This window comes from Homo sapiens, chromosome 1 (assembly GCF_000001405.40).
Source record: "Homo sapiens chromosome 1, GRCh38.p14 Primary Assembly".
Lineage (NCBI taxonomy): Eukaryota > Metazoa > Chordata > Mammalia > Primates > Hominidae > Homo > Homo sapiens.
The window spans coordinates 37,902,699-37,918,709 of record NC_000001.11 but is presented as its reverse complement, the minus strand read 5'-3'; the positions used below and the strand labels follow the sequence as shown (position 1 = coordinate 37,918,709).

At 44.5% G+C, this 16,011-nt stretch overlaps 1 protein-coding gene and 1 long non-coding RNA gene across 22 annotated transcripts in view; one reads left to right on the top strand and one right to left on the bottom strand.

The window, feature by feature from the left end:
- The window catches only part of INPP5B (inositol polyphosphate-5-phosphatase B), an 86,361-nt gene that overhangs the window by 28,348 nt on the left and 42,002 nt on the right, over positions 1–16,011 (top strand). The gene's annotated exons all lie outside the window — the stretch shown is intronic.
- Positions 54–15,533, bottom strand: LOC124904043 (uncharacterized). Its single transcript, XR_007065876.1, has 4 exons — positions 10,383–15,533; positions 8,513–8,705; positions 730–847; positions 54–419 (listed from the first exon to the last, which is right to left on the bottom strand). It is a non-coding gene; the product is annotated as an uncharacterized LOC124904043 (long non-coding RNA).

Genomic DNA, 16,011 nt, shown 5'->3' with positions numbered 1-16,011 from the left:
AGGAAGCAAATTAAGTAATTTGTTTGAGGTTTCATAAGAGGTGATGGATGGAGTCAGTAACATCACCAGCTCTATTTTATTCCAAAGCCCAAGGCATTTTCCAAAACAGTCTAATGTTTCTTAAAGTGCCAGACACATTATATAGACAGGAAGACACTCAAAATTCAGAGAAATGACTACTGAGAACTTATGTGGCTGGGGAGGGCTTCATGAAGGAGGAGGTGGGAGTTGAGGCTGGGCTTCGAAGGAGAGGTGGCCAAAAAGTAGGAGTAACTTCATATGAAGGCAGGAGTGCGGATGGCATGTGTGAAGAATCTATCCTTTTAGATCAGGCTGTCTTTGGGTGATGGATTGATGAAGGAGAGTAGAGCCATTTGCAAAGGGCGTCAGATGCCAATTGAACCAGTTTGGGTCTTAACCTGTACAGGAAGATTTAGAGCAGAGAGATGAAATCAGAGTTTAATCAGGCCAAGTGCAGAGGCTAAATGGGTAGGGAGAAGTGGGAAGATCTCTTAGTTGGGAGACTCCTGAGGTAGCAAGTGAGGAGATGGTAGCCTGGAGGAAGGCAGCTGTGAGACTGAAGAAATGGATGACTAACTCTCTCTGGGGGGCCAAGGAGAGAGGTGAGCCGATGGCAAGACTGTACACCTGGCTGATAGGAAGAATGATGGTGCTGGTAATAGGCGGGAGAGCTCAGGGAAAGAGTCCAGAATCAGACTACAGTTTTACCTGGGTCCCCCCTGCATACAGAACGTCTTGTAGAAATGCCCAGGGGATGGTGGAGGTGCTGAGCTCAGACAGGGCTGGACAGCCTCATTCATAATCAACCAGGATGGCTGGTGGGTTCCTTGTAGAAGAGGAAGAACAAGGTCTAGATTTGCACTGTCCAATGTGCTAGTCACTAGCCATGTATGGCTATTTTATTTATTTATTTATTTTTAAGAGATGGGGTCTTGCTATGTTGATTGACTAGGCTAGTCTCGAACTCCTGGTCCCAAGCCATCCTCCCATCGTGAACTCCCAAAGTGCTGGGATTACAGGCTAAACTTAATTTAGGTAAAATCAAATTAAAAACTTCAGTTTTTTGGCTGGGCACAGTGGCTCATGCCTGTAATCCCAGCACTTTGGGAGGCCTAGGCAGGCTGATTGCTTGAGGTCAGGAGTTTGATAGCAGCCTGGCCAACATGGTGAAACCATGTCTCTACTGAAAATACAAAAATTATCCGGGTGTGGTGGCGCATGCCTGTAATCCCAGCTACTCGGGAGGCTGAGGCAGGAGAATTGCTTGAACTCAGGAGGCAGAGGTTGCAGTGAGCCGAGATCGCGCTACTGCACTTCAGCCTGAGTGATAGAGCGTGACCCTTTCTCAAATATATATATATATATATATATATATATATAATTATTTTTTTTTTTCCCCCGAGACGGAGTCTTGCTTTGTCACCCAGGCAGGAGTGCAGTGGCACAATCTCGGCTCACTGCAACCTCTGCCTCCCGGGTTCAAGCAATTCTCCTGCCTCAGCCTCCCGAGTAGCTGGGATTATCGGCGCCCACCACCATGCCCAGCTAATTTTTATATTTTTAGTAGAGACGGGGTTTCACCATGTTGGTCAGGCTGGTCTCGAACTCCTGACTGCCTGATCTGCTTGCCTCGGCCTCCCAAAGTGCTAGGATTACAGGCATGAGCCACTGGGCCCGGTCTCAAGCCATATTTTAAGTGTTCAATATATATTGGACAACACAGTTATAGAATATTTTCATCATCAAAAAGGTTCTATTGGACAGTACTGGTCTAGGGCTTGAGGAGTACCTACAAATAACTAAGGGGCCTCGAGGAGGAAATAGAGCAAAAGGAGGCAGAAGGAGCAATTGAATGAAGAAATAATGTTGCTGCCTCTCAGATGATTCTCAAAACAAATGGGGTATTTCCATTTTGGTTTGAATTTATTTATTTTTTCTTTGTATGATGGCATGTTTTAGAAAAAGCCCAGACTGGCTGGACGCAGTGGTTCACGCCTGTAATCCCAGCACTTTGGGAGGCTGAGGCAGGCGGATCACCTGAGGTCGGGAGTTCGAGACCAGCCTGACCAACATGGAGAAACCCCATCTCTACTAAAAATACAAAATTAGCCGGGCGTAGTGGCGCATGCCTGTAATCCCAGCTACTCGGGAGGCTGAGGCAAGAGAATCGCTTGAACCGGGGAGGCAGAGGTTGTGGTGAGCCGAGATCGTGCCATTGCACTCTAGCCTGGGCAACAAGAGCAAAACTCTGCCTCAAAAAAAAGAAAAAAAAAAAAATGAAAGAAAAAGAAAAAGCCCAGACTGCAGTGGCTCATGCCTGTAATCTCAGCATTTTGGGAGGTCGAGGTGGGCGGATCACTTGAGGTCAGGAGTTCGAGACCAGACTGGGCAAGATGGCAAAACCCCATCTCTACTAAAAGTTCAAAAATAAGCTGGGTGTAGTGGTGGGTGCCTGTAATCCTAGCTACTTGGGAGGCTAAGGCACAAGAATCGCTTGAACCTGGGAGGCAGAGATTGTAGTGAGCCAAGATTGCACCACTGAACTCCAGCCTGGGTGACAGAGCGAGACTCCATCTCAAAAAAAAAAAGGAAAAAGAAAAACCCAGACACCAATTCAGTGGTAGGCCTGGCTACCGGATGTTAAAATCAAGGCCTTGCTGCCTATCTTTGTTTTATAGGTCTGGGCCTTCAACAGATCTTATTTGGCTTCTAGAACACCTCTTGGTCATGCAGTGAGGGATACCCTCAAGTTAACTATGGGAAAAGAAGACAGCAATTGTATGAGGCAGACACTGTTATCTTATTCACATGAGGAAGCAGATGCTTAGAGAAGTTAGATAACTTTCTCAATATAACGTGTCTTTGACTCCAAAGCCTGTGTATGTATATAAAACACAAAAAACATGTTATTATAGCTAACTATAGGAAATACATATAAGCAAAAAGAAAAAGAAATCTAATCACTGAGAAATGACTACTGTTAACATTTTGCTGTGCACCCTTCCAGACTTTCCATGTGTCTGTGTCTGAGTCCATACAAATACAGCATATGTGAATATTTATAAGTGTGGTATCTATGCACACAGACATATACTCCAGTCCTTTCTAATGCATATAGGTATTGTCAGGCCATGCTCATTAACTACCATCCTCAATCCCTTATCAGCAGTTCTGAAGTCCTGAAAGCTCTGAAGGCTGGAACAAATTTTTCTTGTAAGTTTGACCCAAGCTCAATTTGGCAGTAAGACTTGCTTGAACTGACATGAGACTATTTATAGGCTTTGTTTCTCTCACTAAGTATTACTCTTCGTAAGTTATACTGTGGAAATATGAAAGCGTTTGATTAACTGGGTATTGCCTCAGACCCTGCTGGGGTTGTTATGTAGTATTTGATACAGGTAATGTGTTATCTTCCTAAAATCTCCCACATTCTGAATTCCAAAATGCACTTGGCCCAAGAGGCTTCAGATAAGGGCTTGTGGGTCTATATTAGGCTATGTTGCTGCTTGGGCTGAGGAAGGCACCTCAAGGGTCAACACTGTCTATTTAGTGAGGCATGTGAGAGTTTTGGTTCTACACAATATGCAGTACAAAGCACAGAATTTGCAAGAAAAATAGAACACTTGCACTTTTACACATCGCAATCAAGCTGCAGTTGTTACTGTAGCTTGTTGACTTACTAGGTAGGCTGCTCCTAGGGAAATGGTTTCAATTGTCGGCATGAAAGGTGGTCAATGAGAGTACACAGAAAAATCACACTGAGCTTAATCTGCCTGGGGACTGTTTGTTTAGGGTGTGTTTACTGACTGCCTGGTGTGTGCCATATATTGTGGTGAGCTGGGGCCAGAGATAGCACATTGGTCCCTGCTTCCAAGAAGCTAGTGGTCTAGGTGTAGAGGTAAGACAGATAAGAACAATTAAACCCAGGTATGATCCCATTATCATAATGGAACCATTATCATGCCTTGATGGAAGTAAGCACTGAGTTATGTGAGAATGTATGGAGGGGGCCAGAGAAAGTTTTTTGAAGATAACTCCTGAACTGAGTCTTGAAGGATGAGTTTGTAGTTCATCACGTGAAGGTGGAATTGGGATATGGAAAGATATACCCAGGATCAGGGGTGGAGTGAATAGGCAGTGTGTGAAAAGGTAAGTTTGGTGTGACTGGATTGGGAGGTAAGAGAGAGAAGCTTCCAGTGGGGATGGGAAATGGGGCTGGAGAGGAAGTCTGAAGCTATTTATAAAGATCTTTTCATGCAATCCTCAGAGGTTTGGGTTTTGTTCCAAAAATTGTTACCGGAAAGGGGTCCCGAGCCAGACTCCAAGAGAGGGTTCTTGGATCTTGAGCAAGAAAGAATTCAAAGCGAATCTATAGAGTAAAGTAAAGGCAAATTTATTAAGAAAGTAAAGTAATAAAGAATGGCTACTCCATAGACAGAGCAGCCCTGAGGGCTACTGGTTGCCGTTTTAATTTTTTAAAATTTCTTGATTATATGCTAAACAAGGGGTGGATTATGTCACGTGCTTCCATGTGAAGAGTCCACCAACAGGCTTTGTGTGAGTAACAAGGCTGTTTATTTCACCTGGGTGCAGGTGGGCTGAGTCTGAAAAAGGAGTCAGCAAAGGGTGGCAGGATTATCATTAGTTCTTATAGGTTTGGGATAGGTGTACAAAGTACATTCTCAAGGGCGGGGAGAATATTACGAAGCACCTTCTTAAGTGGGGGGGTAGAATATATCCTATCAGTTAGGGTGGGGCAGGAACAAATCACAATGGTAGAATGTCATCAGTTAAGGCTATTTTCAGTTCTTTTGTGGATCTTCAGTTGCTTCAGGCCATCTGGATGTATACATGCAGGTCACAGGATATGATGATTTAGCTTGGGCTTAGAGACCTGACATTCCTGTCTTCTTATATTAATAAGAAAAACAAAACAAAATGGTGGTGAAGTGTTGGGGTGGCGAAAATTTTTTAGGGGCGATGTGGAGAGATAATGAGCAATGTTTCTCTGGGCTGCTTCGAGCAGGATTAGGGGTGGCATGGGAACCTACAGTGGGAGAGATTAAACTGAAGAAAGATTTTGGGGTAGGGGGTGATATTGTGGGGTTGTTAGAAGGAGCATTTGTCATATAGAATGATTGGTGATGGCCTGGATGCGGTTTTGTAAGAATTGGGAAACTAAACGGAAGACACAAGGTCCTAATAAGAGAAGGAGAAAAACAGGTATTAAAGGACTAAGAATTGGGAGGACCCAGGATATCCAATTAGAGAGTGTCCAAGGGGGTTCAGCGTAATTATTTGATTGGTTGGCGAGTTTTGGGGCTCTATCCTTGAGTTTTTTTATGTTGTCATATACCAGGCCAGATTGATTTAGGTAAAAACAACACTCTTCATTTAAAAAATGTTTTTTGTTGTTTTTGTTTTTGTTTTTTGAGACAGACTCTTGCTTTGTTGCCCAGGCTGGAGTGCAGTGGCGTGATCTCGGCTCACTGCAAGCTCCGCCTTCCGGGTTCACACCATTCTCCTGCCTCAGCCTCCCAAGAAGCTGGGACTACAGGCACCCGCCACCACGCCCAGCTAAGTTTTTGTATTCTTAGTAGAGACAGAATTTCACTGTGTTAGCCAGGATGGTCTCGATCTCCTGACCTCGTGATCTGCCCACCTCAGTGTTCCAAAGTGCTGGGATTGCAGGCATGAGCCACTGCGCCTGGCCCAGAGTCCCCCTTTTTTTTTTTTTTTAGCAGTGAGTAAGTCGAGGCCTCTGTGATTTTAGAGGAAAGAGAAATGCAAAGCCAGCAATTGTTTGTTAAAGAAGGTTTAGAAACAGCTAGGAGAGAGTGAGTGAGATTGATAGTGTGGTGGAGATAGCTGGGGAGAGGTAGAGGATGGCATAAGAATGGGAATGAGAATAAGAGTGAGTATAAAAGTAAAGAATAGGACTTCATCAGGGTAAAAGTATCGGAGGGTGCCCTGTCAGCAAAGTTCATCTATCCACTCTAAGAGGGAGTCAAGAGTGGCGGATTGGGGATAGTACCAGGAGATATCCGCTACAATGGTTTGGAGGAAAAGCGTAAACCAGCAGTGTAAACAAGGGCAGGGCATTTACAAGTAGTTGAGAATGGTGAATAGGAGTATGACTAGACAGAAGATAGGGATGACAAGTTTTTGGGGCACAGAACAAGTAGTGGGGGTGACTGCGTAAAGCCCTATTGCAAAAAGTAGGGTAAGGATGAATAGACCTAATAGAATGAAGGGTTGTATTAGGCTCATAAGGGTTATTACTGCTCTTCAGAAATGCAAATAAGTTTAAGGAAAGTAGGGGTGAACACTTGTGACTTCCAGGAGGAAGAGGAGAGATCAGGCTGGCTGTTTGACGGGCACAGCTTTATTCTGGAATGATGAACCTAATGGTGGGGCATCCTGCAGACGAACAGCCATTGGGGTACTATAGATGACTAAGTGGGGTCCAGTCCATGGAGGTTGTAGAGTTTGAGGGGTCAGATTCTTAACAAGAACTGATCATCCAGCTAGGGTGTCTTCATATGGCTGGGAATCTGGAGTAGGCAAGAGAAGATGAGCAGCCTAGCGAATTTCCTGTCTAGCCTGCTGGAGGACTGGAAGATAGTTGCCTAGAGGGCTGGTGTCTGGGACGAGGTCAGGGCTGAGCAAGAAAGTGCGTCCATATAAAAGTTCAAATGGACAGTACCCTGTAGCATCTCGAGGACAGGCTCTAATTCTGAGAAGGGCAAAGTACTGTCCAGTCCTGGCCGTGAGGGACAGAAGTTGGAAAGCTAGCTGCTTCTTTAACTACCTTATCAGCATAAGCGTTGCCCTGAGCAGTGGGATCTGATGCCTTTTGATGGCCCTTGCAGTGAATGACTCCAGCTTCCTTTGGAAGTAAAACAGCCTTGAGAAGAGTATTTATTAAAGAGGCATTAATGATGGAGGACCCTTGAGTAGTGAGGAAACCTCTTTCTGCCCATATAACAGCATGGTGGTGCAGGATATGGAAGGCATATTTAGAGTCAGTATAAATATTGACTCGTAGTCCTTTTGCAAGAATGAGGGCCCAAGTTAAGGCAATGAGTTTAGCTTGCTGAGAGGTAGTGGAGGGGGTCAGAGTGGTAGCCTCAATGATAGATGTGAAAGATACTATAGCATAGCCTCCCTTTGCTGGTGAGTGGCGATTAGGCCTGGTGGAACTGCCATCAATAAACCAAGTGTTATCAGGGTGAGGAACAGGAAAGAAGGAAATATGGGGAAATGGAGTGAATGTCAGGTGGATCAGAGAGATACAGTCATGGGGATCAGGTGTGGTATCCGGAATAATGTGGGAGGCCGGATTGAAGTCTGGGCCAGGAACAATAGTAACTGTGGGAGACTCAACAAAGAGTGAGTATAGCTGAAAGAGCTGGGGGGCAGAAAGTATATGCGTCAAGTGTGAGGAGGAAAATAGATTTTGAAAGTTATGGGAACTGTAGAGAGTAAGTGGAGCATAGCTTGTGATTTTGAGGGCCTCTAAAAGTATTAAAGCAGCGGCAGCCACCACACGCAGACGTAAGGGCTAGGCTAAAAGAGTAAGGTCAAGTTGTTTGGACAGAAAGGCTCCAGGGCGCGGTCCCGGCTCTTGTGTAAGAATTCCGACCACACAGCCCTGCACTTCAGCTGTGTGTAATGAAAAAGGTTGGGATGAGTTAGGGAGAGGTAGTGTGGGAGCATCTTTTAGGGCTGTTTTTTAAGGAATGGAAAGGGGAGTGGGGAAAGGATTTAGGATTTATGGGGTCAGCTAGGTTTATCTAGAACAGAATAATGGGTTGTGGAGGGAGGTATTGAGGATGGGAGAATATATGGCTTTGGCACCACAGGGTGGATAGGCAAGACAATTTGGTCGATAGGGTGCAGATCCTGAACTAACCTGTAAGACTCGTGTAGTTTTTGGACAGGTAAAATGGGGAATTGTAAGGAGAGTTTATAGGCTTTAAAAGGCCATGCTGTAGCAGGTGAGTGATAACAGGCTTTAATCCTTTTAAAGCGTGCTGTGGGATGGGATATTGGCATTGAGCAGGGTAAGGGTGATTAGGTTTTAATGGGATGGTAAGGGGTGCATCATCCGTTGCCAAGGAGGGAGTAGAGGTGTCCTATACTTGTGGATTAAGGTGGGGAGATACAAGGAGAGGATGTGAAGGAGGCTTTGAACTGGGGGAAAAGGAGGCAATGAGGTGTGGCTGTAGCCCAGGAATAGTCAGGGAAGCAGAAAATTTAGTTAAAATGTCTCAACCTAATAAGGGAGCTGGGCAGGTGAGGATAACTAAAAAGGAGTGCATAAAAGAATGTTTTCCAAGTTGGCACCAGAGTTGGGGAGTTTTAGGAGGTTTAGACGCCTGGCTGTCAATACCCACAACAGTTATGGAGGCAAGGGAAACACGCCCTTGGAAAGAAGGTAATGTGGAGTGTGTAGCTTCCGTATTGATAAAGAAGAGGATGGACTTACCCTCCACTGTAAGAGTTATCCAGAGCATCTGTGATGGTCCTGTAGGCTTCCGAGGCGATCGGGCAGTGTCAGTCTTCAGCCGCTAAGCTGAGACGATCTGGGAAGGAGTCAGTCAGAGAGCCTTGGGCCAGAGTTCCAGGGGCTCTGGGAGTGGCTGCTGGGTGAGTTGGACAGTCTGATTTCCAGTGGGGTCCTGCACAGATGGGACACGGCTTAGGAGGAATCCCAGGCTGCAGGCATTCCTTGGCCCAGTGGCCAGATTTCCAGCACTAGAAGCAAGATCCTGGGGAGGCGGTCCTGGAGGAATGCCTGACCCCTGAGGTTTAGGCGTTTTGAAGTTCTTGTGTGCTGGAGATGTAGCTGGGGTTTCTCTCACAGCGGAGGCAAGTAATTACAACTCTTCTGTATTACTGTACCCCTTGAAGGTGAGGTCAATTAAGTACTGTTGGGGGGTTGAAGGCCAGAATCTAATTTTTGGAGATTTTTCTAATGTCAGGAGTGGGTTGGGTAATAAAATGTGTATTGAGAATAAGACAGCCTTCTGGCCCCTCTGGGTCTAGGGCGGTAAAGCATCTAAGGGTTGTTGCCAAACGGGCCATGGACTGGGCTGGGTTTTCATATTTGATGAAAAAGAGCCTAAACGCTAACTGATTTGGGAGAGGTTGGATAAAGAAAAAGGAGGATTAACCTTGGCTATGCCTTCAGCTCCAGCCACCTCTCTGAGAGGAAATTGTTGGGCAGGTGGGGGAGGGCTGGTCACGGAATGAAACTGTAAGCCAGACCGGGTGTGAGGAGGGGAGGTAATAGAAGGGTTATAGGGTGGGGGAGCAGAGGTTGAAGAAGAGTTGGGAGCTGGCTCGGCCTGGCAAGGAGCAGCCTGGGGAGGAGGGTAGAGGTCAGATGGGTCTGTAGAAAAGGAGGATTCCCAGGATTCAGAGCTTGGGGTGGAGACTGAAGGAACAGACAGGAGAGAAAGAAGAAAGCTTTGGGATGAATCTCATTGGGAACAGAGATTAGGAAGGGACCGATGTGTAAAAGAATGCCTGGACGTCAGGCACCTCAGACCATTTGCCCATTTTATGACAAGAATTATCTAGATCTTGTAGGATGGAGAAATCGAAAGTGTCATTTTCTGGCTATTTGGAATCATTGTCAAGTTTGTATTGGGGCCAAGCGGTGTTGTAGAAGAAAATAAGACGCTTAGGTTTTAGGTCAGGTGTGAGTTGAAGAGGTTTTAAGTTTTTGAGAACACAGGCTAAAGGAGAAGAAGGGAGAATGGCGAGTGGAAGGTTGCCCATAGTGAAGGAGGTAAGTTTAAAGAGAAAGGTAGAGACATGGAGAAGTGGGTGGGTGAGCAGCCCTGGGCTGCAATGTGGGTGAGCAGCCAAAGCAGGCATCCCTGCAATTGACTTGCCACCAAGGGAATGTGGGTGAATGACTAAGGCAGGTGTCCCCGCAGTGATCAGACACCAGTGGAGGGTGGGTGAATAATCAGGCAGGCATCTCCGCAGTGATTAAACACCAAGGGAAGACTATCTTCCCGAGTCCGTGACTGGCGCCAGAGTTTTGGGTCCACGGATAAAATGTGTCTCCTTGTCTCTTTTTTTTTTTTTTTCCTTTTTCTGGAGAACGGGGTCTCGCTATATTGCCCAGGCAGGTCTCGAACTCCTGGGCTCAAGCTATCCTCCCGCCTCTTAGCCTCCCTGAGAGCTGGGATTGCAGGCGTGAGCCACCGCACCTGGCCGTCTCCTTGTCTCTACTAGAGAGGAAAAAGAATTGGAATTGGAAGGACAGGGAGATTGAAGGGTAGCAAGAGAGGAAGATTGAAGGGTAGCAAGAGAGGCATGAGAAGAGTGAAAAGACTGCTTACCCAATTTGAAGTTGGTGAGATGTTCCTTGGGCTGGTTGGTCTGAGGACCTGAGGTCACGGAGTGAGGGCGAAGACAGGGGACTGGTCTCCTGAAGGAGTCCTCCTGTCCTGGGTTTTGGCACCAAATGTCACACGCATCCTTGTGAAGAGACCACCAACAGGCTTTGTGTGAGCAACAGGGCTGTTTATTTCACCTGGGTGCAGGTGGGCTGAGTCCGAGAAAGGAGTCAGCAAAGGTTGGTGGGATTATCATTAGTTTTTATACGTTTGGGATAGGTGTACAAAGTACATTCTTAAGGGCGGGGGAGAATATTACAAAGTACCTTCTTAAGGGCGGGGGAGAACATAGCCTATCACTTAGGGTGGGGCAGGAACAAATCACAATGGTGGAATGTCATCAGTTAAGGCTGTTTTCAGTTCTTTTGTGGATCTTCAGTTGCTTCAGGCCATCTGGATGTATACATGCAGGTCACAGGGGATATGATGGCTTAGCTTGGGCTCAGAGGCCTGACAGATTATTCATGCCTCCCCTTTTTAGACCATATAGGGTAACTTCCTGACATTACCGTGGCATTTGTAAATTGTCAAGGCACTGGAGGGAATGTAGCAATGAGGACGAGGTGGGTCACTCTCATGGCCATCTTGGTTTGGTGGGTGTTAGCAGGCTTCTTTACTTGAGCATGTTTTATCAGCAAGGTCTTTATGACCTGTGCCTTGTGCTGACCCTCACATCTCATCCAGTGACTTAGAATGCCTAACTGTCTGGGAATGCAGCCCAGCAGGTCTTAGCCTTATTTTACCTGGCCCCTATTCAAGATGGAGTTACTGTGGTTCAAATGCCTCTGATATTTCTCCCTCCCTTTTATAAAAGAGCCCTTAATCATAAGGGTTGCAAAGGGATGAAAATCCATCTTCTGTAACTTCTTCATGCTGAATAGGTCGATTATATTCCTGCCTAACTATGAGGGTCTCTTGTATTCAGGGTAGAGAGGAGCTCAGTCAGAAAGCAGCAGTATGGCAAGGCCATTCATGTCTCTTGAGTTCCAACAAAAGGTAATATCTGGAAGATTAATAAGTGTTCAATTTAAGAAAACATTCAGTAAGCTTATTGTGCGTTTCTACACAAAGAGTACAACAGCAATGTATTCCACAACGGTAAAGCAAAATAAGTGAAATTATTCCAAATAAACTAAATTAGAAGGCTTTTCATGAACTGGGCAACTGTTGGAACCAAGCTGATATGGGATTGCTAGCTGATTCCAATATATGCCCAGAATTAGAATATTGATCCAGGTTTTTACATTACCTATATCTCTTGTTTCTTCTGAGCTGCACCAGAGATCACTAGTTGGTTAATAGAAATAAGTAGGGTCAGTCTAAATTGCAGGAAAAAACGTAAACACAACTGATGAGACTAGAACCTAATAACCATAGGTTTTTTTTTTCTTTCTTTCTTTTTTTTTTTTTTGAGACAGAGTCTTACTCTGTTGCCCAAGCTGGAGGGCAGTGGTGCAATCTCGGCTCATTGCAACCTCCACCTGCTGGGTTCAGGCAATCCTCCTGTCTCAACCTCCCGAGTATCTGGGATTATAGGCACACACCACCATGCCTGGCTAATTTTTGTATTTTTTTTTAATAGAGATGAGGTTTCACCATGTTGGTCAGGCTGGTTTTGAACTGCTGACCTCAAGTGATCCACCCACCTCAGCCTCCCAAAGTGCTGGGATTCCAGGTGTGAGCCACCATGCCCAGCCTAACCATAGTTTTTGAAACATATATTTTTTTCCTCTCTCCAGTCTTTCATTTTTACTAAAGACAAATCATGGTAAGACCGATTTGCTTTATTATACTTGGACTGATTATTTGTATAAAGTGCAGCAAGAATAAATATTTTTTTACATAGGCTTTTAAAATTGGCTTTGATGGAAGTCTGCTTCTTAAGAAATCTTAGATAATACTTTTTTAAAGCTGAGCCCAGCCATGGGTTTGTATCCTGAAGTACCTGTAAGTTGGGTAAATTTCTCTCCTCTTGAGGTTCCAAGATAACTTGGGGCTCCTGGGCCTGTCAGAAAGTGACATTCTTTAATTACCACAGGTCAAGAACCCTGTACAGAGTCTGTAGCCAAGGTATGAGGCCAGTTTTCTCATGGGGCTTTTATTGGCTCTGTTAGTCAAATTTGATTCTTTAAAGGAAAACATACCATTCCAGTCAAAGCCTTGGTAAAATAACCAATTTCTCCAACTGTGTCCTATTGCAAAAAGAAACAGATTCTTATTGCACTTATGCAAATAATTATATTGCCATAAGTTGAGAATACTCACAAATAGTTTCCAAATTCTGAGAAATTAGGTAGAGTGAAACAAATACGGTCTAAATTTTGTTCACAGGAGTATACTTTACTCAATTTTTAAAAGATGTAAATAGCTCAAAAGAAAAGTTTTCTTGACTCTGAACAACAAAACAAGGGATCAGCAATGTTTTAAGCAAAGTCAAAAAGATTACTTTAGTCTTCTATTAGTTCAGTCCATGCAGTTAACTTCTGTTCTGATTGACATTCATGAACATTTCAGCTTTGCATGAGTCCTGAAAGTTTTTCCTCAATTCTAATGTCACAGTCTCCAAAGTTATTAGAAACCTGCATTCAAGAGCACTTTTCAAATTCCTATAGCTGATTAAAACCACCTTTGAAAGAGGATTAAAACAAGACAACAGTTGTCTGTGGATGACAAAATGTTTTAAGGCAGCCACAGTCAAAAACACAACTGACAAAGAAATTTGGTTACCACAGTGGCATGTAACAATTTTACATAACAATTGTAATTATTAGTAACATACACTAAGTCATGACAGAATTATAGGAGTTTTCCATAATTTTGGAACATATACCAATAACATATTTTTGTTTATTTATTTATTTATTTTTGAGACAGAATCTTGCTTTGTCACCCAGCCTGGAGTGCAGTGGCACAATGATCTCAGCTCACTGCAACCTCTGGCTCCAGGGTTCAAGCAATTCTCCTGCCTCAGCCTCTCAGATAGCTGGGACTACAGGTGTGCACTACCATGCCTAGCTAATTTTTGTATTTTTAGTAGAGATGGGGTTTCACCATGTTGGCCAGGCTGGTCTTGAACTCCTGACTTCAGGTGATCCGCCTGCCTTGGCCTCCCACAGTGCTGGGATTACAGGCTTGAGCCACCACGCCTGGCCTCAATAACATATTTATGCAAATACAGCCCAATGAAAGCCAAACACTATTTCATATTTGACAATGCTTCCTTTATGATTTATATACCAAATAAGCCAAACTTCACTTTGCATTAGTATACTATTAATGTTAAACCCAATTCTTAATAAAACCTTATAGACAAATCTATCCAACTTTAATGCCTGACCATAAGGTAAGATTTTCATTAACCTTTTATAACCCTTTAAAATTTTTTTTTTTTTTGAGATGGAGTTGTGCTCTTGTTTCCCAGGCAGGAGTGCAGTGGCACGATCTTGGCTCACCGCAACCTCTGCCTCCTGGGTTCGAGCTATTCTCCTGCCTCAGCCTCCCGAGTAGCTGGGATTACAGGCATGCACCACCACACCTGGCTAATTTTGTATTTTTAGTAGAGATGGGGTTTCTCCTTGTTGGTCAGGCTGGTCTCGAACTCCCAACCTCAGGTGATCCGCCCACCTCGGCCTCCCAAAGTGCTGGGATTACAGACATGAGCCAACGTGACTGGCCAACCCTTTGTAATTTTTTTTGTTGAAGAGCAGATTAGTGCTCTAAGAAAAACTTACTGTACTTTTATTCTAATATTTAATTTACAGAAAAACTGAATAATACCCTCTTAACTTTAGCCAGTATGTTCACACACAGAATTTCATTTACAAGATTAACAAACTCTTAAACTTTCAGTTTTATTCTATTTAACTTAAACAATCCTTTAACCCTTTAGGCGAAAAAAAAATCCACATTCCCGTGACTTCTTATTTATTTATTTATTATTTTTTTTTGAGACGGAGTCTTGCTCTGTCACCAGGCTGGAGCTCAGTGGTGCGATCTCGGCTCACTGCAATCTTTGCCTCCTGGGTTCAAGTGATTCCCTTGCCTCAGCCTCCTGAGTAGATGGGACTACAGGCACGCATCACCATGCCTGACTAATTTTTTGTATTTTAGTAGAGACAGGGTTTCATCATGTTGGCTAGGCTGGTCTCAAATTCCTGACCTCGTGATCTGTCTGCCTCGGCCTCCCAAAGTTCTAGGATTACAGGCATGAGCCACCATGCCTGACTGACTTCTTATAATCTTTTATGAAAAACATATTTCAGTTTCTTTACACACCTTGCATGTAAAACTGTTTTTATTTCCCAAAGATTACTTAAGTCATGTGAACTAAAAGGCATTACACTTTTTACTTTTCTGACAAAAAATATTTTATTTAAGCCTTTTTCTTTTTTTGGACAGAATCTTGCTCCGTCAAGTATAATGCCGTGATCTTGGCTCACTGCAACCTCTGCCTCCCAGGTTCAAGCAATTCTTCTGCTTCAGCCTCCCAAGTAGCTGAGATTACAGGCATGCACTACCATGCCCAGCTAATTTTTTTTTTTTTTGAGACGGAGTCTCTCTCTGTTGCCCAGGCTGTAGTGCAGTGGCACGATCTCAGCTCACTGCAAGCTCCACCTCCTGGGTTCATGCCATTCTCCTGCCTCAGCCTCCCAAGTAGCTGGGACTACAGGCACCCGCCACCATGCCCGGCTAGTTTTTTGTATTTTTTAGTAGAGACGGGGTTTCACCGTGTTAGCCAGAATGGTCTCAATCTCCTGACCTGGTGATCCACCCGTCTCGGCCTCTCAAAGTGCTGGGATTACAGGCGTGAGCCACTGCGTCCGGCCCCATTTTTATTTTATTTCTTGATTGTATGCTAAACGAGGGGTAGATTATTCAAGCCTCCCCATTTTAGACCATATAGGGTAAGTTCCTGACATTGCCATGGCATTTGTAAACTGTCATGGCGCTGGTGAGAGTGTAGCAATGAGGATGACCTAGGTCATTCTCGTGGCCATCTTGGTTTGGTGGGTTTTAGCAGGCGTCTTTACTGCAGCCTGTTTTATCAGCAAGGTCTTTATGACCTGTGCCTTGTGCCGACCCTCATATCTCATCCTGTGACTTAGTATGCCTAACTCTCTGGGAATGCAGCCCAGCAGGTCTTAGCCTTATTTTACCTAGCTCTTATTCAAGATGGAGTTGCTCTGGTTCAAATGCCTCTGATAAAATGATTTAAGTTATTGAGGGATTTTACCCACAGTAGTGACGTGTCCAGATTTGTGTTTTCTTTTCTTTTCTTTTTTTTTTTTGAGACAGGGTCTCACTGTAGTGCCCAGAGTGGAATGCAGTGATACAATCATGGCTCACTGCAGCCTCGAGCTCCCTGGCTCAAGCTGTCCTCCCCCTTCACCTCCTGAGTAGCTGGGACTACAGGTTTGCACTACCATGCCCAGTTAATTGAAAAAATATATTTTGGGAGGCTGAGGTGGGTCGATCGCCTGAGGTCGGGAGTTTGAGACCAGCCTGACCAACATGGAGAAATCCCATCTCTACTAAAAATACAAAAATTAGCTGGGTGTGGTGGCACATGCCT